A 24351-nucleotide genomic window follows, 5' to 3' on the forward strand; every position below is an offset into this window, starting at 1 on the left:
ACCCCTGACCTCAGGTGATCCGCCCGCCTTGGCCTTCCAGAGTGCTGGGATTACAGGCGTGAGCCACCACGCTCGGCCCAGAGTTTTAAAATTTTACTTTTTCTACTTTAGCTCACATTTGAGGTGGTAAAAGTTAATCTTGAGGTCCCTTTCTCCTACAGGGCTGGGGGAAAATTTTCACGTGAGAGTCAAACAGTCCTTTTCAGATACATCCAGACAAGGTTTGGTTAGAAATAAAATTACTTGGGCTCTCTGGTGGATGGGTTCTAGGCAAACAACTCCGCCCAACAGCAGAGGCCCTGCACTGCGTTGTGCCTGCAGCACCTCGTGCGCCTTCTGCAGCCGGCCAACCACCTACACCGCAGCCCGCCCACCCGCACGCGGGGGCGGGGCGGGCAGGCAGAGGCGCAGGCGCGGTGCTTCGCAGCCCGCTTCCGGCCTCACACCTGCCAAGCATCACACCTGCCAAGCATCACACCTGCCAAGCATCACACCTGCCAAGCATCACACCTGCGATGCCTGCACGAGCTGGGTGCGGTCCGCGCAGCTGCAGTAAGGGGGCGACCCGGCGTCTGTTAGTCGGCGGTTCATCTCCTTCGTGCCTCGATGAGCTTTAACGCCATTTTCCTCCATTCTCTTTCTTCACCTCTTGAGTGAGTGGCCATGAGCTGGGCTGCAAGAGTCCTGGGGAGCAGCCAGAGAGCGGGCGCCGCGGGAGCGAATTGTTTTTGCCCAAGGATGGTTCTGTGTCTCCGCCAGGCGGCATGTGACCTGCTCGGGCGCGGGTGGCCCTTCACCCCTGTGAGTGTGGCCAGAAGTACCTCTCACCTGGACCTGCGGACCCCGGGCGCAGTCCTGGAGCTGAGAACTGGAGGTTGGGGGAACAGCAGGGTAAAGGGGAGAGAAAAGGGGGTCAGCTGCGGGACGGAGTGCCGTCCCAGCTGTAGTTTCATGTTTGGTGGAGCAACCCCTGTTCCTTTCCTCTCTCTCTCTCTTAATTCCTCTTAACTGTACTCACGCTTCCTTCTCCTTCCCCTGGTCCGCTTCATGGATGCTGAGCTGCCTGGCCAGAACCTACCCAGCTTCTTTGCTGGTCAGATTTGTCGGTCTTTTGTGTGTCTGCAGCACCTCCTTCCACACGGGCCCAGGAGTTCTCTATACGCGCTCTCACCGCAGGTCTTGGAATTCCAAGCCATTTCCAATTCCAGGTCTTGGAAATGGCTGTGCAATTTGTCTTCACTGTTAGGTTTCCAAGATGGCAACTATCAAGAGTGAACTTATTAAGAATTTCGCGGAAGAGGAGGCCATTCATCACAATAAGATCTCCATTGTAGGAACTGGATCGGTTGGTGTGGCTTGTGCTATCAGCATCTTATTAAAAGTAAGTTGTGTGCTCTGCACCACAGGGTTCACCTCAGTTGGAGGCGAGGCCACAGCGTATGGTTGTGGAGGTTGTGTCCAGTTCAAGGTGGTGAGTGGGGAGCCAGTGTGAGGGGCATCAGAGGAAAAGGTGCCCTTTTTTTAGTTGTTCACCCAGAGGGCGCTCCTTTTTAAAAATTGTATGATGATATCATGTGGGTTAGAAGCATCTCTGTGAAAGTATGTTGACATTTCACTTTCACGTAATGACAATATGAGGTACCCCTTTGCTTGATTTGGAAACTCAGCTCACAAAACAAACTGGAGAGAAATAGGTGGCAGAAAAGAGTATACAAGCGTGTCAGTGATGGTAGGCAGCCTACGAGTACCAAATACAATAATCTTTTTTCATTTAAATATCTCTCTCCCATTTCCTAGTCTGTATATCTTTATTTCCCTTCGTTCCTTATTCATGTTAGGTTAGTTTTAGTGTTTAGCTGTTCTTAGTATTGATACAGCTGATAAAGTTTTATGGCTATAGACAGAGGCCAAAAAAAGATTCTGACCCCTTTCTAAGAATATTACCCTGATATGAACTTTATTACCATAAAGTTTTAATAAATCATAAGACACTCTGAGCTATACTTTTATTAATGAAATATCTGTAAAATGTTTTAGCCATCTTTTATATAACCTTTAATCCTGGCATGAGTCATTGGATTTAAAGGATTGCCTCTGGGTTTCATATCTAGATGACATAGTGACCTTATGGCACTAAGGACAGCAGCCACAGCCAACTGCTGCTCCTGCCAGCCATACAAATTCCCCATGATTCATTTTGTCCTACCTATTGTAATGCCTTTATCAGCAGTGTCCTCACTGCTAATGAAGAATACACACACGTGAAAACCAACACATCTGTGACTCATTGATTGTTTGATGGGGCCTCCACGTATTGCCCAGGCTGCTCTCAAACTCCTGGCCTCAAGCAGGAGGTCTCGGCTTCCTAAAGTGCTGAGATAACAGATGTGAGCCACCTTGCTTTGCCCAACACATTTTTTTTAACATCAGTAATAATGATAACAGTATGTTTGTATGCATTATCCAATATTACAACCCTGGAAAGTAAATATTAGACCTACTTTTTAGAGGAGAAAAAAGGAATAGACTATCTCTAATTGCATGAATAGATAAGTATACAGGTAATATATATAGAAAAGCTTGAAATAAAAGATTTATTTATCACCTCTGCTTTGAAGGGCCATTCAGGGAGGGACTGAGCCATATCCCTGGAACTCCTACCTCTGCCAGCTGCTGCTTGGCTTTGGTTGCAGGAGTGGAGGGAATTTTGGGGCTTCTGATGGGAGGTTCCAGGGCCCAGGATAGGGCAGTGCCATGGGGCTGCACTTGTTTCATGGCCCTATCCATGATGGGAGGTCCTAGATAGATCTCAGGTGGAGGTGGTGGATAGGAGTACAGAAGGGCAGGAGTGCATTCCATTGCAACTGGTGATGGGAGGCACAGGCCCCACCGGGCATGTAAGAGCATCTGTAGGCTCCACTGGTGGCTTACCTCTGGAGGCTTAAAATGCCACCTGTAGCACCCATTGTTCAAACTCAGTGGTGCTCCCTGCTGTAAAGGTATGAAGCAGAGCCTTCCCAGTCACCTCCTGCTTCTAGAACTTGAATTCTAGTATGTTGCTAACTATGGCATTTGTATATCTTAGGAAATAGGGTACACAATCCCCCTATAAAGCCTCAGGTTAAGGCTCACTTTAATCTTTCCCTGTCCTGGCCCTAGACACTGCAACTTCTGTCATTCAAGGAGGTGGTGATAGCCTAAAAACTCCTTGCTGATAAGGAATTCTCAATATGAATTGTTCAGGAATTTATTGTCAGGAATTTGTGGTATGAACCTTGTAGAGAAACAGTAATGTCTTTAAAAATTACTGAGTTTTACCATAATACATAAACTTTAATTAGTATAATGCGAGATCCACTTTTTCTTTTAGTGTTGTATCTGGAATCTAGAAGAGTGCCTCCTGTAATTGATATTTAGTAGTTGGATGAAAGAATTGCTAAAAGATGCCCATTAAAATGGAATGCACTGGATTGTGAATATAAAGATGGGATATTCTGTTTACTTTCATTTTTATAAATAAGGAAAGGGAGTCCAGAGAGATTGTTAGGATATATTTTTATAGACTTTATTTTTTAGAATAGTTTTAGATTTACAGAAAAATTGAAAGGATAACAGTTTATACCCCACATTACACCTTAGTATGGTGTGGTGGTTAATATTGTCAACTTGATTGGATTGAAGGATGCAGGGTATTGTTCCTGGGTGTGTCTGTGAGGGTGTTGCCAAAGGAGATTAACATTTGAGTCCGAGGACTGAGAGGCAAACCCACCCTCAATCTGGGTGAGCACCATCTAATCAGCTGCCAGCACGTCTAGGATAAAAGCAGGCAGAGGAACGTGGAAGGACTAGACTGGCTAAGTCTTCCAGCCTTCATCTTTCTTTCGTGCTGGATGCTTCCTGCCCTCAAACATCAGACTCCAAGTTCTTCAGCTTTTGAACTCTGAGACCTACACCAGTGGTTTGCCAGGGACTCTCGGGCCTTTGGCTACAGACTGAAGGCTGCACTGTTGGCTTCCCTACTTTTGAGGTTTTGGGACTTGGACTGGCTTCCTTGCTCCTCGGCTTGCAAATGGCCTGTTGTGGGACTTCACATTGTTATCATGTGGGTCAGTACTCCTTAGTAAACTCCCTTTCATATCGACATCTATCCTATTAGTCCTGTCCCTCTAGAGAACTCTAATACATATTGTATACCTTAGTGTGGTACATTTGTCACGATGAAAGAATGGATATTGACATATCACCTTTAACTAAAGTCCACACTTTACTCAGATTTCTTTAGTTTTTACCTGTCCTTTTTCTGTTCCATGATCCCATCCAGGATGATACCACATGACGTTTAGTCACTGTATCTCCTTGGGCTCCTCTAGGCTATGACAGTTTCTTTAGATTTTTCTTGTTTTTGATGACTGAGCATTCTGAGGAGTACTAGTCAAGTATTTTGTAGAACACCTTTCTCTTGGAATTTGGTGGGGTTTTTTTTGATGGTGAGACCGAGGTTTTGGGTTTTGGGGAGGAAGACATAGGAATAAAGTGCCACTTTTCATCACATCATATCCCGGCTACATACTGTCATGATTTATCAGTGTTGATGTTGACCTCAGTTACCTGGCTGCTTGTAATGCAGCTTAGACTTCTAGGTTGATCAGTTGTACAGTCTAGTTTAAAATGTAAAGCGCTTGGCTTTGAATTTCCAGTAATTCGAATAGAGTAAAAAGATCCAGGCTGGATCCAGGCAGTGGCTCATGCCTGTAATCCTGCACTTTGGGAGACCAAGGCAGTAGTATCACTTGAGCCTAGGAGTTTGAGACCAGCCTAGGCAACAAAGCAAGACCCTGTCTCTAAAATATAAATAAATGAATAAAAATTAAAAATTGGCTAGGTGGCCGGGCACGGTGGCTCACACCTGTAATCCCAGCACTTTGGGAGGCCAAGGCGGGTGGATCACCTGAGGTCAGGAGTTTGAGACCAGCCTGGCTAACATGGTGAAACCCCATCTCTACTAAAAATATAAAAAACTAGCTGGGCACGGTGGCATGCATCTGTAATCCCAGCTACTTGGGAGGCTAAGGCAGGAGAATCGCTTGAACCCGGGAGGCAGAGGTTGCAGTCAGCCAAGATCGCACCATTGCACTCCACCCTGGGCAACAAGAGCAGAAACTCCGTCTCAAAAAAAAAAAAAAAAAATGCCAGGTGCGGTGGTACATGCTAGTAGTACTAGCTACTTGGGAGGCTGAGGCAGGAAGCTTGCCTGAGACCAAGAGATTAATGCTGCAGTGAGCCATGAATGTGCCACTGTACTCCAGCTTGGGTGACAAAGTGAGACCCTGTCTCAAAAAAGAAAAAAGGTAAAAAGCACTAACAATGTGAATTGGATATGTGCTTAAATTATGGATGCTTGGTTATTTCTTTCCTTTTCTTTTTTTTCTGAGAGGGAGTCTCACTCTGTTGCACAGGCTGCAGTGCAATGGTCAATCTGATAGCTCACAGCAACCTCCGCCTCCCGGGTTCAAGTGATTCTCCTGCCTCAGCCTCCCAAGTAGCTGGGATTACAGGCATGTGCCCCCATGCCCAGCTAATTTTTGTATTTTTAGTAGAGACAGGATTTCACGATGTTGGCCAGGCTGGTCTGGAACTCCTGACCCCAGGTGATCCGCCCGCCTTGGCCTCCCAAAGTGCTGGGATTACATGCGTGAGCCACCGCGCCCGGCCTTGGTCATTTACTTGTTTTTTTTTTGAGACAGAATCTCGCTCTGTTGCCCAGGCTGGAGTGCAGTGGCGCGATCATGGCTCACTTCAACCTCTGCCTCCTGGGTTCAAGCGATTCATCTGCCTCAGCTTCCCGAGTAGCTGGGACTACAGGTGCATGCCAACACGCCCGGCTAATTTTTGTATTTTTAGTAGAGACAGGGTTTCACCATATTGGCCAGGTTGGTCTCGAACTCCTGAGCTCATGATCCGCCCACCTTGGCCTCCCAAAGTGCTGGGATTATAGGCGTGAGCCACCATGTCCCACCTTGATCATTTACTTCTAAGCACTAACACAAAGGCGTTATTTTTCCTCCAAGGAAAAATTTATTATGTAATAAAGATAAAAAGAATATGTAGTTAAAAGGTAATACATTTACAAGATTTGAAAGTAAGGCTGGGTGCGGTGGCTCAAGCCTGTAATCCCAGTACTTTGGGAGGCCATGGCAGGCAAATCATGAGGTTAGGAGTTTGAGACCAGCCTGGCCAACATGGTGAAACCCCGTCTCTACTAAAAACACACAAAAAATTAGCCGGGCATGGTGGCAGGCGCCTGTAATCCCAGCTACTCAGGAGGCTGAGGCAGGAAAATCGCTTGAACCCGGGAAGGTGTGGGTTGCAGTGAGCCGAGATAGTGCCACTGCACTCCAGCCTGGGCAACGAGCAAGATTCCGTCTCAAAAAAAAGAAAAAAAAAAAAAAACTAGGCTGGGCATGGGCTCACGCTTGTAACTTTGGTAGGCTGAGGCAGGCGGATCACTTGAGTCCTGGACTTTGAGACCAGCCTGGGCAACATGGTGAAACCCCATGTCTACAAAAAATACAAAAATTAGCCAGATGTGGTGGCAGGCTCCTGTGATGTGGTGGTAGGCGCCTGTTGTCCCAGCTACCCAGAAGGCTGAGGTGGGAGGATCATCTGAGCCTGAGAAAGTTGAGGCTGCAATGAGTCATGATCATGCTACTGTACTCCTACCTGGGGGACAGAGCAAGCCCCTGTCTCAGAAACAAAAAGTAAAAGTAAAATTCAGAAAGATACATACAAGGCCGGGCGCGGATTAAGGCTTGTGCCTGTAATCCCATCACTTTGAGAGACCGGGGCAGGTGGATCACTTGAAGTCAGGAGTTTGAGACCAGCCTGGCCAACATGGTGAAACCCTGTCTCTACTAAAAATACAAAAAAATTGGCCGGGTGCGGTGTCTCATGCCTGTAATCCCAGCACTTTGGGAGGCAGAGGCGGGCGGATCACTAGGTCAGGAGATCAAGACCATCCTGGCTAACACGGTGAAACCCCGTCTCTACTAAAAATACAAAAAATTAGCCAGGTGTGGTGGCGGGCGCCTGTAGTCCCAGCTACTCGGGAGGCTGAGGCAGGAGAATGGCGTGAACCTGGGAGGCGGAGCTTGCAGTGAGCCGAGATCACGCCACTGCACTCCAGCCTGGGCAACAGAGCAAGACTCTGTCTCAAAAAACAAACAAACAAACAAAAAAAAAAACAAAAAAAACCCAAAAATTAGCTGGGCATGGTGGTGCATGCCTGTAATCCCAGCTACTCAGGAAGCTGAGGCAGGAGAATCACTAGAACCCAGGAAGCGGAGGTGGCAGTGAGCCGAGATTGCACCACTGCACTCCAGCCTGGGGAACAGAGCAAGAGACTCCATCTCAAAAAAAAACAAAAACAAAAACAAAAAAACATACATGGAGAAGTCATACTGGTTTCCATCCAATCTTTCCTTAGCATCCACTTTAGGCAATTATTTGAATCAGTTTCTTGTATTTCTAGTGTTTTTTTTTTTTCAAATAGAAGTATATTTTCTCTCCTTTCTTACATATAAAGTAGCATCATAGAAATTATAGTATGAATTGATTTCTGTAGGTAATAACTGTCTGATTATAGAACTAAAATATTTTTGAGTTGGAAGGAGCCCTATATTTTAATCCATTTGCTGTGGTTTGAATGTTTGTCCCCTCTGGAACTCGTTTAAATTTAATCCTCAATGTGGCAGTATTGAGAGGTGGGGCCTTTAAGAGTTGACTGGGTCATGAGGGCTCTGCCATGGATTAATCTATGGATGAATGGGTTATCAGGGGAGTGGGAATGGTAGCTTTATAAGAAGAGGAAGACAGACCTGAATTTAGCAATCGCAGCCTCCTTGCCATGTGATGCCCTGTGCTGCCTTGGGACTCTGCAGAGTCTCCTCCAGCAAGAAAGCCCTCACCATATGGCGGCCCCCTGACCTTGGACTTCTCAGCCTCCATAACTGTAAGAAATAAATTCCTTTTCTTTATAAGGTACTCAGTTTCATGTATTCTGTTATAAGGAACAGAAAATGGACTAAGATACCATTTATTCAAAAAACTTTTACTGAGCTCCTCTGTGCCAGGTGGATGATAAGTAAGCACCAGATGGCTGGGGATGAATGACTTCCTAGTCTCAAGAAGCTCAAGGTCTGGTGAGAAATTCCTTCAGCAGAAGCACTACTTTATCACTGTGCAGCCTCAGCTGAAATTGAAAATCGGGGTGTTCACTACTTTCAGAGATTGTTCTATTTACTAAGCAGTTTCTGTTTTTGTTTTCCTCATGATGAGCTGAAATGCTCCTCTTTGTAATTTGTATTTTTTCTGGTTTAGACTTTTATATCATGACAAAATGATGAGATCATTTATTATGTTTCCTTTGATTTTGATAATTCACAAGCTAGACATAGATCACCAATATAAGAATTTTCTTTCATTCTCCAGTTAATCAAGAGATACACTCACACCCATTGGACTAACAATGTTTTTCAGGGTTTGAGTGATGAACTTGTCCTTGTGGATGTTGATGAAGGCAAACTGAAGGGTGAGACAATGGATCTTCAACATGGCAGCCCTTTTATGAAAATGCCAAATATTGTCTCCAGCAAAGGTTAATGTCATAGTTAAATACTATAAATATTCTAATATACATGAACAAGTATCTAAGAAAATCATCTTTATTTCTTTTGACCTCCCCAGTTTTTATAGATAAGGCTGGTTGCTCCCTACTCTGTACTCTCATAACGTGTTCAGATTCCTTGGGTTGTACTTTGCAAGGTTTCCCACGGCACCAGACTGAGTTCCTTGTGAGCAGCAGTAACAGCAGTTATCATGACAGCTACAATGAACTGACTGCCTATTGTGTGTGAGACATTGACCCAAGCACTTTATATAATTTAATCCTGAGCACAACTCTATTTTAGAGATGATGTACCTCTGAACTAAGGTTAATTAAAAGTGATAGGACCAGGCATGGTGGCTCATGCCTGTAATCCCAGAACTTTGGGAGGCCAAGGCAGGTGGATCACCTGAGGTTGGGAGTTCGAGACCAGCCTGACTAACATACAGAAACCCTGTCTCTATTAAAAACATAAAAATTAGCCGGGCGTGGTGGTGCATGCCTGTAACCCCAGCTACTCAGGAGGCTGAGGCAGGAGAATCGCTTGAACCTGGGAGGTGGAGGTTGTGGTGAGCCAAGATCGTGCCATTGCATTCTAGCCTGGGCAACAAGAGTGAAACTCTGTCTCAAAAAAAAAAAAAAAAGTGATGGAGTAGGGATTTGAACTCAGTTCTGTTTGATTCCAAAGCCTAAGCTCTTCACTACTGTACTTTATTCACTTGGCACCTGGGAGATAATTATTTGAACAAACGAATGAACCAACAATTTGCTATTCAAAGGTCTGTTCACACCACATCTATCTCTAAATATTCTTGCCAGAGTAATCCATATTTTGACCTCTTCATCTAAATAATACAAAAGGTATTTTAGGAGGTGAGGTGTTTTTTTTGTTTTTTTTTGTTTTGTTTTGTTTTGGTTTGTTTTTGAGACAGTGTCTTGCTATGTTGGTGCAGGCTGGACTTGGACTTCTGGGCTCGTGTGTGATCCTCTTGGTCTCAGCCTCCAAGTAACTGGGACTATAGGAGTGCACTACTGTACCCAATTTAGGAGGTTTTTGTTTTTGGAAACGGAGTCTCGCTCTGTCACCCAGGTTGGAGTGTCGTGGTGTGATCTTGGCTCACTGCCTCCATGTTCAAGTGATTCTCCTGCCTCAGTCTCCCTTGTAGCTGGGACTACAGGCATCCGCCACTGTGCCTGGCTAATTTTTGTATTTTTAGTAGAGATGGGGTTTTGCCATGTTGGCCAGTCTGGTCCTGAACTCCTAACCTCATTTGATGGACCCACCTCGACCTCCCAAAGTGCTGGGATTACAGGGGTGAGCCACTGCACATGACTTACGTTTTTTTTTTTTTTTTTATTATTAAAAAAAATGTACAAGGGAAACTTAGTGCTAATTTCCTGAAATTAAAAAGTAGTCTAGGCATACTAGAAGATTTAAGGGAACCCACTCTTTGGTAAACATAGTGTGGTGATTGAAGTGAACAGGAAGTATACTTAAATGCCAGATGTTTTCTTTCATAATCGATTGTTTATTCTAATCTTTCCTCAGATTACCTGGTCACTGCAAACTCCAATCTAGTGATTATCACAGCAGGTGCACGCCAGAAAAAAGGAGAAACACGCCTTGATTTAGTCCAGCGAAATGTATCCATCTTTAAATTAATGATTCCCAATATTACCCAGTACAGTCCTCACTGCAAACTGCTTATTGTTACTAATCCAGGTCAGCTTTGTTGTTTTAAATTTTCAACTTTTAGATTCGGGGGTACACTGTGTAGGTTCATTACATGAGTATACTGTGTGATGCTGAGGTTTGGGGTAGGATTGATCCTGCCACCCAGGTACTGAGCAAAGTACCTAATAGTTTTTCAGCCCTTGCTGCTCTCACTCCCTCCCTCTCTAGTAGTCTCCAGTGTCATTTGTTCCCATCTTTATGTCCATGTGCACCCACATGTTTAGCTCCCACTTATAGTGAGAACATGTATTTGGTTTTCTGTTCCTGCATTAATTAGCTTGGAATAATGATCTCCAGCTGCATCCATGTTGCTGCAAAGGACATGATTTTGTTTTTTATGGCTGCATAGGACAGCTTTATTTTCACTGTTCAGTGAAGGAGTTTTTGGGGGTGGGTTTAGTAACTTTGAGGAGAAAAAGAATTTAATGAATATTAAATCGTAAACCACCAGTATAATTCCAGAATCTCTGTTTTGTTAGTGTAATATGTACTTTGCACAGTGGTAATCAGTGTATATACTATAATGACTTTAAAAAATACTAGTGTGAGGCCAGATGCAGTGGCTGAAGCCTGTAATCCCAGCACTTTGGGAGCCCAAGGTGGGTGAAGTGCTTGAATCCAGGAGTTTGAGAATGGCCTGGGCAACATGACAGAACTCCATCTCTACAAAAAAATACAAAAATTATCAGGGCATGGTGGAGCATTCCTGTAGTCCCAGCTACTCAGGAGGCTGAGGCGGGAGGATTGCTTCAGCCAGGGAGGTCAAGGCTGCAGTGAGCCATGATTGCGCCACTGCACTCCAGCCTGGGTCACAGTGAGACCCTGTCTCAAAAAAAAAAAAAAAAAAAAGTAGTGTGTATGGGAAGATAATATGCTTAATCATATGAGTTCAAGGTTTATATTCTAAAGGCTGAGGTTTGTTTTCCAAATTACTGTTTGAGAAGTGAAAGTAGGGCTATAGTTTACTGCCTGACTCTCCAAAATTGTACTAGACTCCTCACTGGTGCATTTACAAGGTGGACAAACTGAAAATAGACTTCGGAGATAAAATGTGCAGGACTGCTGATAGATTATGTCTAGTGAGAGAAAGGGAGGAATAAAAAATAACTTCGAGAGTTTTTCCTTTGAGTAACTGAAGGGATGGTAGTTCCATTTAACTGGGTTGGTAAATTTACTGATCGGGTGGGAGTCAGTGAGGGAAGGAGGCAGGGATGTTACATATAGAGGGGAAAAATCAAGATACCTGAAATGATACTCAAGAGGAAATGTCAAACAGCTAGAGATTATGAGTCTGGAGCTTAGTAGTTTAGGGATATTCAAATTACTGTATTCTAAAATTATTTGGAGTAGTTTTTCTCTGTGCAGACCAACAGTGAGTGCATGATTAAGTTTATTCATTTTAATTTCGATGCTGAAGAACTATTTAACTTTTGTTTCACAGTTTTATAAAATATTCACATGGCTCCAACATCAATTCTAGAGAACAGGAATTATTCAAAGTGGTCCAGCTTCTGTCCCTGTGCCCTTTCCCCTATAGCCTCCATCCTTTTATAGGTAACCATTTACACTTTTTATGGTTTACAGCTTTTTGTTACTACATACGTTTTTCTCCATCTTCTTTCATTTTTAACTTAATATATCATGAAGCTCAACTCCATAGTAGTATTTATAAATATGTTGATTACTGTAGCTTTGTGGTAAGTTTTGAAATCAGGATGTATTAAGTCTTCTGACTATTCTTTAAGATTATTTTGGGTCAGGCGTGGTGGCTCACACCTGGAATCCCAGCACTTTGGGAGCTGAGCCAGGTGGATCACCTGAGGTGAGGAGTTCAAGACCAGCCTGGCCAACATGGCAAAATCCCATCTTTACTAAAAATACAAAAATTAGCTGGGCATGGTGGTGCACACCTGTAATCCTAGCTACTTGGGAGGCTGAGGCAAGAGAATCGCTTGAACCCAGGAGGCAGAGGCTGCAGTGAGCTGAGATCGCACCACTGCACTCCAGCCTGGGCAACAGGGCAAGACTGTCTCAAAAAAAATATATATATATACACACATATATATATATATATATATATATATATATATATATATACACACACATATATATATACACACACATATATATATACGTATATATATACGTATATATATACGTATATATATGCATATATATACGTATATATATACATATATATACGTATATATATATACATATATATACGTATATATATATACATATATATATATATATTTTGCTTGTCTGGATCTTTAGCATTTCCATATGAATTTATGTATCAGCTTGTCAATTTCTGAAGTAAAACCAGCAAGGATTTTGATAGGGATTACTGCTGATTCATTTTGGTTCTTTTGTATTTAATAAGTTGTTTTTCTCTTGCTGTTTCCAGTATTTTCTCTTTGGCTTGTAACAGTTTGACTATGATGTGTTGAAGTGTGAATGTCTTTCAGTTTATACCACTTGGCATTCATTGAGCAGCTTGGATGTATAGGTTTTTTTTTTTTTCTTTTTTTGAGATGGAGTCTTGCCCTGTGGCCCAGACTGGAGTGCAGTGGCATGATCTCGGCTCATTGCAACCTCCGCCTCCTGGATTCAAGTGATTCTTGTGCCTCAGCCTCCTGAGTAGCTGGGATTATGGGCACCCACCACCACTCCTGGCTAACTTTTTGTATTTTTAGTAGAGACGGGGTTTCTCCATGTTGGCCAGGCTGGTCTTGAACTCCTGACCCGAACTGATCTGCCCACCTCAGCCTCCCAAAGTGCTGGGACTACAGGCATGAGCCACTGCACCCGGCTTGGATGTATAATGTTTTTCTATTTGGGAAGTTTCAGCTGTTACTTCTTTGAATAATTTTCTGCTCCTCTCCCTTCCTTCTGGTCCTACCATACATGCATATATATGTTGGTGTGTTTAACGGTATCCCATAAGTTTGAGGCTGTTTTTTCTTTTTTAAAATAGTTCATAGATTATCAAAAGTTCTTTTTGTATGGCATTGAGATTTATTTATATATTTAACTGCATGCATATCTTTAGCTTTCACATAAATTTTGCTTCATACAGGCTATTGGTATAAGCATTTCCTCTTTTAAGAGTTTGATTCTTTAAAAAAAATACCAAATCCAAAATTCAGAAATGGTAGTCCGGCGCTACAAGGAAGCACACTGAAAATAACAAGCTGATGATACATTATCACATTGTACAATAGTATTTTATATTTTCTTACACACTTTCCAGTAAGTTTTTTCACATCCTGAAATGTCACGGTGTCATTTTTGAAAGGAGAGCTGTGGAGAGATTCTGATATGACTCAGAGTTGTGAAGGCACCTGGTGGAGCTCCTTCATTAATTTCTCTAACCGTTCAGGGCACTGAAGTCTGTGGGGACAGTAAGTTCACATTTACTGTTTGTGTTAAGTGAATCCCCAACCTACTTTGATTTGCACTAAAACGCCTCTACCCTCAAAGTACCGCGTCATTAAGGTTATATGATAACAAATTAGGAAAAACAAATTAAGCATCACTTGCTTGGCAACATTAACTGGCCCACCACACTCCCACCACAGATTTTAGAAGTGTACATTAGCAAAAGATGCTTCTCTATGCATTATGGCAGAAGTCTATTAAAGAATATTTAATTTATTGACTAATATTTCTAATAAGCACATTCAGAGGATACTCTTTCTACATTTTATATACTGGCTGTCTGCCATTAACAGCAGTAAAAATAAGGAAAAATAAAAAAATCTCAATCTCAAATGATTTAACAGCTTAGTTCTGTATTTGCTTGACAGTGTATGCAGTTATAGTACACACTATCAAATATATCTTCCATATCTATTTAGAAAACTTATTCTGATATTAGAACCATGTGAAGAAAGTCTTCTCCATTATTTTAGTGAGTCTGTTAAAATGGTCCACTAAGAACCATCTTCAAAATTTCAGGTGCTTCAAAAGTTAAGAGAAACAATTAACTTCATTACTCTAATACAAAACAAAAACAAAAACAAAAACTGACAACTTTAAATTAGTATTAAGCTACCAAAAATTGATACCACTCAGGAAAGATTTTTTCCCCCCCGAATGATAATTTTATTTATTTTTTTGAGACAGAGTCTCTGTCTGTCACCCAGGCTGGAGTGCAGTGATGCAATATCGGCTCACTGCAATCTCCGCCTCCCAGGTTCAAGCAATTCTCATGCCTCAGCTTCCCAAGTAGCTGGGATTACAGGCATGTGCCACCATGCCCAGCTAATTTTTGTATTTTTAGTACAGATGGGGTTTTACCATGTTAGGCTGGTCTTGAACTCCTGGCATCAAATGATCTGCCTGCCTTGGCCTCCCAAGGTGCTGGGATTATAGGCGTGAGCCACCGCGTGGCACTGAATGATAATATTTAGCTAAAATTTTAGTGAAAGAAAAGGCAATTCTGAGAGCAATCTGGGTAGAGAGGGGTTTCTCAGGCGTAGGTACTAATTCCCATGCAGGACTGCCTTCAGATGCAGCTCCCGTGTCTCCACAGTCCTCAAGGCCTGGTTTTGGTGGTTCTGTAGTAAAGGCTTCACACATGTGTAATATGTATAGGTAGCATCACTACAAAATGGAGTGCAAGTTCAAATCAGAGTTTTAAGGTCAGGAAAAGTAAGTATCATTTAAATGAATCACCAGAGACACTTTTAGAAGTTCTTAAGTTCCTTTAGAAATCTCCCTTTCAAGGATGTGCCAATTTTTATTTTGGCAAATCATGGATAAAAACTAAATGTATTAATAGTTATGATGATTGTGGTGCTATTTTTTAAACATTACTAACTTTATAGCAATACTCACATTTACCTATTTACCTAGCACACTTTTTTTTTTTTTTGAGATGGAGTCTTGGTCTGTTGCCCAGGCTGGAGTGCAGTGGCGTGATCTCGGCTCACTGCCACCTCCACCTCCCGGGTTCAAGCAATTCTCCTGCCTCAGCCTCCCAAGTAGCTGGAATTACAGGCGTGCACTACCACGCCCAGCTAATTTTTGTATTTTTAGTAGAGACGGGGTTTCACCATGATGGCCAGTCTGGTCTCAAACTCCTAACCCCAAGAGATCCGCTCACTTCAGCCTCCCAAAGTGCTGGGATTACAGGCGTGAGCCACAGCGCCTGGCCACATTTCAACAGTGTTTTATTTTCAGTAACTGACCTACTGCAGTCTATTTTCAGACTTTTAGTTTATATATGATATTTTATTATGCTGATATGAATGTGAAATTTTAAAAATTAAAACAAGCAATTAGTAAGGGTTTCTTATTTATGTTAAATATTAATTTATCTTACCTAAGTGCATAATTTTGTCCATGTAGTGGTAGAATTGTAAAACTAAACTTTAGAAGTTTTTTTTTTTTTTTTTGAGAGAGGGTTTTGCTCTGTTGCTCAGGCTGGAGTGCAGTGGCGCAAACTTGGCTCACTGCAACCTCCGCCTCCTGGGTTCAAGTGATTCTCGTGCCTCAGCTTCCCAAGTAGCTGGGATTGCAGGCGCACACCATCATGCCCAGTTAATTCTTGTATTTTCAGTAGAGCTGGAGTTTTGCCATGTTGCCCAGGCTGGTCTTGAACTCCTGGCCTCAAGTGATCTACCCACCTTGACCTCCCGAAGTGCTGGGATTACAGACGTGAACCGCCACGCCTGCATACAGATCTTATTTCAGTTACAAAAACACACTGTTGACATTATTTTAATATAGCATTTTAGTTTATTACTGTGGAAATGTGGAGCACAAGACATGACAAATACTAGGTATTAATTTCAAAACTGTTCAGAATGAGGCTGGGCGTGGTGGTTCACACCTGTAATCCCAGAACTTTGGGAGGCTGAGGCGGGAGGATTGCTTGAGCCCAGGAGTTCAAGACCAGCCTGGGCAAAATGGTGAAACCCTGTCTCTATTAAAAAAAAAAAAAAAAAAAATTTTTTCCAAAAGAACAAAAATCTACCCAGAATGGCTTATGAAGGTTTGTAATTGTTGATTTAAGAGTATTTAGGATTTTTTTTTTTTTTTTACAAATTAAAAAGTTCCAGTAACTATTTACATGAACTAAATGACCAAATGGAAGTGGAAAATGGAAAATTTAGAGGGCAGTACGGTAAGGGAGGGGATGTAAAATAATACAGGAAGATAACCTAAACAATTGAAGATCAAAGATTTAGGAAAAGTTTAACCTTTTCTTCAAATCTATAGTCATTTACCTAGAAAATGCGGTTGGGTACCCTGGGACACAGCTGAGTTACTTGCTCTGTTTTCAGTTTACCAATTAAAACAGGTCACATTCTCTGTTCCAGACCCAGGGCCTGGCAGAGGTCCCCCAATCCCCTTGAGTTTCAGTGGCAGTTGACGAACCTCTTAAGGCCCAGGATGACTAACCGAGGTTCTTCACTTGACAGCTTTATGTATGAGGAAACTTAAAGACATTTCTACCATACTTCTCTCCATCTCAGGTATTAGAATGAATGCTTACCATTTAAAATAGTGGTATGATCAGACTGTTTCAGTATCACTTTTTACCATCAATGGATATTAAACAGGGAACAGAAGCTCTAACTTTTACATTAATGGAAATATTACCTGTTTAGAAAACACTGTTTCAGAGGACAAAAGATGTCATCTTCATATCTTTTTAAAGTGTCTAATTTCTACTATTTGAGTACTTAAATCTGCCATAAAAAATATGGATTTACAAAAAAGACAAATTAGAAATTATGTCCTTCACAGAGATCCACTACAGGATTCTGAATCTTAAATTGTCTTCATATGTTTAGGATAGAATTTGATGCATTTATTATTTTTAAAGTATGAGTTATTACATAAAGCTAAGTTAAAAGTTCAACCAAATGGAAAAGGTACCAACAAATGCCTAAAATACTATTCTAATCATCTAAAACAAGAACAAATAGATTTTTCAAATAAGAGTTGAATCAATATTTATTTTAGACACTTCATTTACTTGAAAGCTGCTACTTTATTACTTAAAGACTGAGCCTGTAAGAAAATAAAAGAGGTTTAATTCAAATAATATGAAAGTGAACTCTTTACCTTACCTGTTTTTCCCCAAATAATTTTGACTTCATTAATGGAAATTTATGTGAATGGCTCTAAAAACCACCTATTTTGAAACTGCAGAAATAGCAGGACAATCACTTTGTAGAATGATTTGTGAAATATTGTCCTACTACACTTAAAAAAAAAACCCAACACATTTCCTCACTTACGAGTATTTTCTTATTTTTGATATTGCAAATTCTATACATAGAACACCTCTTCATTGTCCTGCTGAAACCCTCAGAATGTAGAGGTGGTTCAAAAGTAATTTATACCATTTTTACCCAGGCTTTGTAAACATGTATCAAAGAGATAGCAAGGTATTCAGTTTTAGTAAACAAAATAATTGCTCCTATAGTAGCTCCTCAAAGTCCCAGGCAAGTAGGCATTAGCAGTTTTCTATTAGATAATTCTACCATCTCCAAATAAGGACTTTGGTCTGTTTATAAAAACTAATTGATAGATGAAGGTAGGTAGGTAGACAGACAGACAGACAGACAGACAGATAGATACAGGCTTTTGCTTTGTTACCTATGCTGAAGTGCAGTGGCACAACCATAGCTCATTGTAACCTTGAACCCCTGGGCTCAAGTGATCCTGTCTCAGCCTCCCAAGTATCTGGGACTAAAGGTGCATGCCACCACACTTGACTACTTTTTACATTTTGTAGAGACGCGGTCTTGTTATGTTGCCCAGGCTGGTCTCAAACTCCAAGTCTCAAGTGATCCTCCCACCTCAGCCTCCCTGTAAGAATTGGGATTACAGGTGTGAGCCACCGTGTCTGGCCTTGGTTTATTCTTGGTAGTTTTTTTCTCCCTTGTCCTATTGCATAACCTAGAAGACTCTCCAGTATAATGTTAAACAGAAACAGTGATAGTGGGTATCCTTGTCTTGTTTCTGACTTTAATGAAAAGGCTTCTAAGTTTTCTTCATAATGTATGTTTGCTTTGGATTTTGATAGATACCTTTTTAAGATAAAAAGCAGTTTCCTTCTGTTCCTAGATTTAGTTTTATTTTTTAATCCCTGAATGAGTTTTCCTACAGTTAAAATGATCATATCTATCTTTTTCTTTAAATCTCATCTGATGTAATATGTTGACAGATTTTTTGATATTGAACCACCTTTGCATTTCTGGGGTGAAGCTTCTTCTTAAAGTATTTTTCTTTCTCATTTTCTTTTCTTTTTGAGACGGAGTCTTGCTCTGTCGCCCAGGCTGGAGTGCAATGGTGTGATCTCGGCTCACTGCAACCTTCACCTCCCGGGTTCAAGCAATTTTCTGCCTCAGCCTCCCAAGTAGCTGGGATTACAGGTGTCCACCACCACGCCTGGCTAATTTTTTTATTTTTAGTAGAGATGGGGTTTCACCATGTTGACCAGGCTGGTCTTAAACTCCTGACCTCGTGATCCACCCGCCTCGGCCTCCCAAAATGCTGGGATTACAGGCGTGAGTCACCACGCCTGGTGATGACGTATGTTTCTTTTCTTTTCTTTTTTTGAGACGGAGTCTTGCTGTTGCTAGGCTGGAGTGCAGTGGCACGATCTCGGCTCACTGCAACCTCCACCTCCCGGGTTCAAGCAATTCTCCTGCCTCAGTCTCCCAAATAGCTGGGACTACAGGCGCGCACCACCATGCCTGGCTAATTTTTTTATTTTTAATAGAGACGGGGTTTCAGCATGTTGGCCAGGATGGTGTCAATCTCTTGACCTCAGGTAATCCACTGGCTTCGGCCTCCCAAAGTAATGGGATTACAGGCGTGAGCCACTGCACCTGGCCTCTGATGCTGTTTTAAAAAAATATATTTTTTAGGCTGGGCATGGTCACTCATCTGTAATCCCAGCACTTTGAGAGGCTGGGGCAGGAGGATTGCTTGAGGCCAGGAGTTAGATCAGCCTGGGCAGCACAGCAAGACCCTGTCTCTATTAAAAAAATAATTTTTTCCTACTATTCAATGCTCTTTGCTTCCTTCTATTTTATGGTTAAAATAACACTTGTCATTGATTTTTTAAAAATCTTTGTTTTAAAAATGCATTAAAGAATATAAACTAGGCCAGGCACGGTGGCTCACGCCTGTAGTCCGAACACTTTGGGAGGCCAAGGTAGGTGAATCACCTGAGGTCAGGAGTTTGAGACCAGCCTGGCCAACATAGTGAAACCCCACCTCTACTAAAGATTACAGATGTGAGCCACTGCGCTCATCCCTCTCTTCCCCTCTTAACTATGCTTTTTGTTGAAAATGGGTTATTCTCTAAGCAAAATTATTTGAAAGACTTGATAAGAGAGTATTTGTTTATTCATATTTCTCAGAATTTTCTGTGGAGTGAACATTCTGTGTTTCTGCATACCAAGCTGTGCAAAGTATCAACGAAAAGGTTTTTCATTACTTCTATTTGGTAGATATTCTTAAGAGTTGGCGTATAGCTGGGGTTGGATAGAGAACCATGTTTCTTGCCTCCTCCACAAAACATCAGATTTACTAGTTTTAAGTTAGGTAAATCTAAAAAACATATCCTTGTAGATGAGGACATTTCTTGATATGAACTTTTTCTTCTTAGTGGATATCTTAACTTATGTAGCCTGGAAGTTGAGTGGATTTCCCAAAAACCGTGTTATTGGAAGTGGTTGTAATCTGGACTCTGCTCGTTTTCGTTACTTTATTGGGCAAAGGCTTGGCATCCACTCTGAAAGCTGTCATGGGCTGATCCTTGGAGAGCATGGCGACTCAAGTGGTAAGCCTGAGGCACGATTGAGCCTCTGAAATATCTATTTCCTATCAATCATACAGACATTTAATGTAAAGTAGCTCCTGGGAGGGGAGAAAAGACTTTATTCCACTTTAGGCCCTTTTAGTAGCGTTTAATTTTTACCACACTTATTTTTAAAATAACCAACAAAAAATACAGATTTGAAAAATGTGAGATTGATACTATAATCCTACATATGGATGGCTAGGATTATAACGCTTTTCTTAAATAGAGAACTAAGTAACATGATATAGTTTGTATTTAATTTGGGACACTCTAGTTCAGAAAGGTCAGCAGTGTACTTCATGTAGTAGGCAGTCTTCAGATTAAGGGATGGGTATAACTGAAGATATAAGAAGGAAGAGAAAGAGTGCTGTGGTAATAGCAGTCTTTTTGTCCCCCCTTAGTGTCTTCTGGCTAAAAACCTTTGAAATCTATTTAATGTAAACCTTGGCTATGGAAAAAGACTTAAAGGGAGAAAAACTAGAACTTCCTAGTGGAAAGTTTAAAACTGCAATTTTCTTATTTGGAGAATCTTTGCCAAGATAATAGAATTGTGGATCCCCATCTGTGGAGATCTAGATTTAGAATATCTGGAGTGGGGCTCAGATATCGGAACATTCCTAGTTGGAAATCACTCAGGGCAATTATAACAGTTTTGCTGAGGTCAAAAACCAAAACCCTGCTAATACCATGTAAGAAGTGGGATTTTGGGTGTCTCTTTCTTAGTTCCTGTGTGGAGTGGTGTGAACATTGCTGGCGTCCCTCTGAAGGATCTGAACCCAGATATAGGAACTGATAAAGATCCTGAGCAGTGGGAAAATGTCCACAAAAAAGTGATTTCCAGGTAATATGCTAGTTTCACATTTTCAGTACCTTAGAAGTTGTGAGCCTGAACTCTGTTAGAAGGTTGAGATTAGTCCCTTAAATATATGTTGTTGTATTTCCCATATTTTTATTTGCACTTCTGCTTTTCTGTGTGATCATATTCACCAGATTATAAATTCTTCAACAGTCAGGAACTGATTCTGTGTTGCTTATTCCTGAGCCTAACCCAGTATTGAGCACATGGTAGGGGCTCACTTGTTGACTGACAATGTATTTTTTCAAACACTTGCTATATAGTGTTTATTGTAGTGGTGGAATTGATTCCATATTAATTTCTGCATCTCTGTACTTGTAACTCAAATGTTTAACCACTGTGGCAGGGCATGGTGGCTCATGCCTATAATCCCAGCACTTTGGGAAGCTGAGGTGGTAGGATCACTTGAGCCCAGGAGTATGACACCAGCCTGGGCAACATAGGGAGACCCCATCTCTGCTGAGGTGTGGGAGGATCACTTGAGCCCAGGAGTATGAGACCAGCCTGGGCAACATAGGGAGACCCTATCTCTACAAAAAAAATAAAAAATTAGCTGAGCATATGGTGGCTTGCTTGAGCCCAGGAGGTCGAGGTGAGCTCTGATGATGCCAATGCACTCCAGCTGAGACCCTCTCTCAAAAATGCATATATATGGCCGGGCGTGGTGGCTCATGCCTCATGCCTCTAATCTCAGCACTTTGGGAGACCAGGGTAGGTGGATCACTTGAGATCAGGAGTATGAGACCAGCCTGGCCAACGTGGTGAAAACCCGTCTCTACTAAAAATACAAAAATTAGCCACGCATGGTGGCGCATGCTTGTAATCCCAGCTACTCAGGAGGCTGAGGAGGGAAGATTGCTTAAACCTGGGAGGTGGAGGTTGTAGTGAGCCGAGATCACACTACTGCCCTCCAGCCTGGGTGACAGAGCAAGACTTAAAAAAAAAAAAGAAGAAAGAAAAAATGCATACATACTACAAGTAATTTCTAGAAGTTGTTGATGGAGTCACTGCAGTTTTGTGGCATTGTTAGATACATTGCTACAAAGTGGAAGTTCAATGACAAGTGCATCTTAACTTATGTTTATGGTTTCTTCTATCTACAGTGGCTATGAGATGGTCAAAATGAAAGGTTATACTTCTTGGGGCATTAGCCTATCTGTAGCTGATTTAACAGAAAGTATTTTGAAGAATCTTAGGAGAGTGCATCCAGTTTCTACCCTAAGTAAGGTAGGACATTCATGTTCGAAAAATCATTAACTCAACATAAAATAGGGGGGTAAAGAACATTTTTGAGGCACTCTGGTTTTGGGTTTGATCTCGTGGGAAGCACCTCTCTTCCTGAAGTCTGTTCTTTGCTGCTGAAGAGTGGGGAGATTGGGGAAAGAGCCTATCTTTGTAGACCTTTGTCCTGGTCTAGTGTGACATTTCTTTTTATTAGATAAAAGTAAGTGTTTTGGCATCTTTATTATTTAACTAAGTGAACTGATTCTACCAGTATCTAGAAACATTGGGAACCACTATGGGCAGACCTTGGTACCTTTGGAGTTGTTCTCTTACAGTTTCAGTTATGTCCAATGATGAGATCTAAGAAAGCAGCACTAGACACAAAATAATTAGCAGTTAGTCTCCTGGGGAAAGGGGAGTTGGGGCATGGGTGAGATCCCTCTGCTAGTCTAAATGGGAGAGGTTATACAACAAGACAGATCTAGATCACTGCAAACAAAGTCATAGGAATTTTGAAGTGGTCTCCTGATAGGAAGTGGTATGGAGTAAGGAGATGAGGAAAGAAGGGTGAGCCCCAGCAAACATGGCAGGAGGCTGGGGCCTATATGGAGAGATGGTGGGTTGAAACTGAACAATAAATATGTCTAATCATGTTTTAAATTGTTTTCTGTCGGCCGGGCGTGGTGGTGTGTGCCTGTAGTCCCAGCTACTTGGGAGGCTGAGGTGGGAGAATGGCGTGAACCCGGGAGGCGGAGCTTGCAGTGAGCCGAGATCGTGCCACTGCACTCCAGCCTGGACGACAGAGCAAGAGTCCGTCTCAAAAAAAAAAGAAAAAAGTTCTCTGCCTTGGTACTCTGCCATAGTTCGTACTATACCAATCTGTTATTCATTCACCTCCCAACTGTTGTTTCTCATATTGCAGAACTTTGTTAAAAAAGGAATAATTTTTAAGTCTTTACTTTCAGGGCCTCTATGGAATAAATGAAGACATATTCCTTAGTGTCCCATGTATCCTGGGAGAGAATGGTATCACAGACCTCATAAAAGTAAAACTGACTCTTGAAGAGGAGGCCTGCTTGCAAAAGAGTGCAGAAACACTTTGGGAAATTCAGAAGGAGCTCAAGCTTTAAAGTTGCTTAAAGCTAATTCTGTAGATTGAAGATGAAATAGTAGTTATGGAATTGTATATGTCAAACTTTTGAATAAATTTGAATTTCTAAAAGTTGGAAAAATAGAGGAAAGAGTGACCTATTTAGTATAGCCTTCCAGCTTTTTTTTTTTTCTTTTTTGGGAGGGTCTCATTCTGTCACCCAGGCTGGAGTGCAGTGGCACAATCATGGCTCACTGCAACCTTGACCTCCCGAGCTCAGGTGAGCCTCCCACTTCAGCCTCCAGAGTAGGTGGGACCACATGCGTGTGCCTCCATGCCTGCCTAATTTTTGTATCTTTTTGTAGAGATGGGGTTTTGCCATGTCATCCAAGCTGGTTTTGAACTCCCAAAGTGCTGAGATTACAGGGGTGAGCCACTGTGCCTGGCCTTAGCTTTGATTTAGTATCCAGATGATAGATGACACTTTTTTTTTTTTTTTTTTAAAGTGACGGCATCAAAGATGTTTTTGGTACTTCTCAGTACTTGCCTTGTATGTATACGTAATTGCCATCTGGTCCACAAGAATGTGTTTACTGTGTTACACAAATCCTGATTCTTTTCATCAGGTGCATAGTAATTCTTCTCTATGGCTTAATACCTATGTTCATTTACATGCTATCTCTACAATGTAAAAATAAAAGTGTATATATATACACACACACACAGAGAGTAATCTAAATGTTCCTAACACTAGATAAAACATTGATTTGACCTTGCTGTTTTTTATTCTTTGAGTGCATTTTAATTTTTACAGAAAAGGCCTTAAGCTGTAAACCGCTTGGTGACAACAGATTAAATTGGTCATTCTTCTCTTGGGAGTAGAGTGGGCTGCCTAATTATCTTAATAACATCCCAAATTGGAATATACTTTTCTTTGTAGCCTTGT

The 24351-nt window shown here is 41.8% G+C and overlaps 1 protein-coding gene across 7 annotated transcripts; it reads left to right on the top strand.

Moving 5' to 3' along the window:
* The first annotated feature begins 430 nt into the window (after positions 1-430).
* Positions 431-24176, top strand: LDHAL6A (lactate dehydrogenase A like 6A). 7 transcript variants are annotated; one of them, XM_011519923.3, is made up of 9 exons: positions 431-653; positions 1247-1381; positions 8536-8653; positions 10212-10385; positions 16832-16885; positions 20041-20214; positions 20959-21076; positions 22195-22318; positions 23281-24176. In XM_011519923.3, exons 2-9 carry the CDS (start codon positions 1256-1258, stop codon positions 23443-23445), a joined length of 1053 nt encoding a protein of 350 aa, XP_011518225.1. In that variant the 5' UTR covers positions 431-653; positions 1247-1255; the 3' UTR covers positions 23446-24176. The 7 variants fall into 7 exon arrangements, with proteins under 7 accessions (XP_011518225.1, NP_001137543.1, NP_659409.2 ...); XM_011519922.3 differs by lacking the exon at positions 431-653 and adding an exon at positions 663-801; XM_011519925.2 differs by lacking the exon at positions 431-653 and adding an exon at positions 808-874.

The sequence above is a fragment of the Homo sapiens genome, chromosome 11, assembly GCF_000001405.40.
Source record: "Homo sapiens chromosome 11, GRCh38.p14 Primary Assembly".
Lineage (NCBI taxonomy): Eukaryota > Metazoa > Chordata > Mammalia > Primates > Hominidae > Homo > Homo sapiens.

Bases quoted from the DNA above. Each gene is read 5' to 3' on its own strand.
- LDHAL6A (XM_011519922.3), top strand. From the start codon at position 664: ATGAGCTGGGCTGCAAGAGTCCTGGGGAGCAGCCAGAGAGCGGGCGCC. The intron at 802-1,246 runs GTGAGTGTGGCC...CTTCACTGTTAG, and splicing joins GCGGGTGGCCCTTCACCCCT to GTTTCCAAGATGGCAACTAT. The intron at 16,886-20,040 runs GTATTAGAATGA...TTTTCTTCTTAG, and splicing joins CATACTTCTCTCCATCTCAG to TGGATATCTTAACTTATGTA.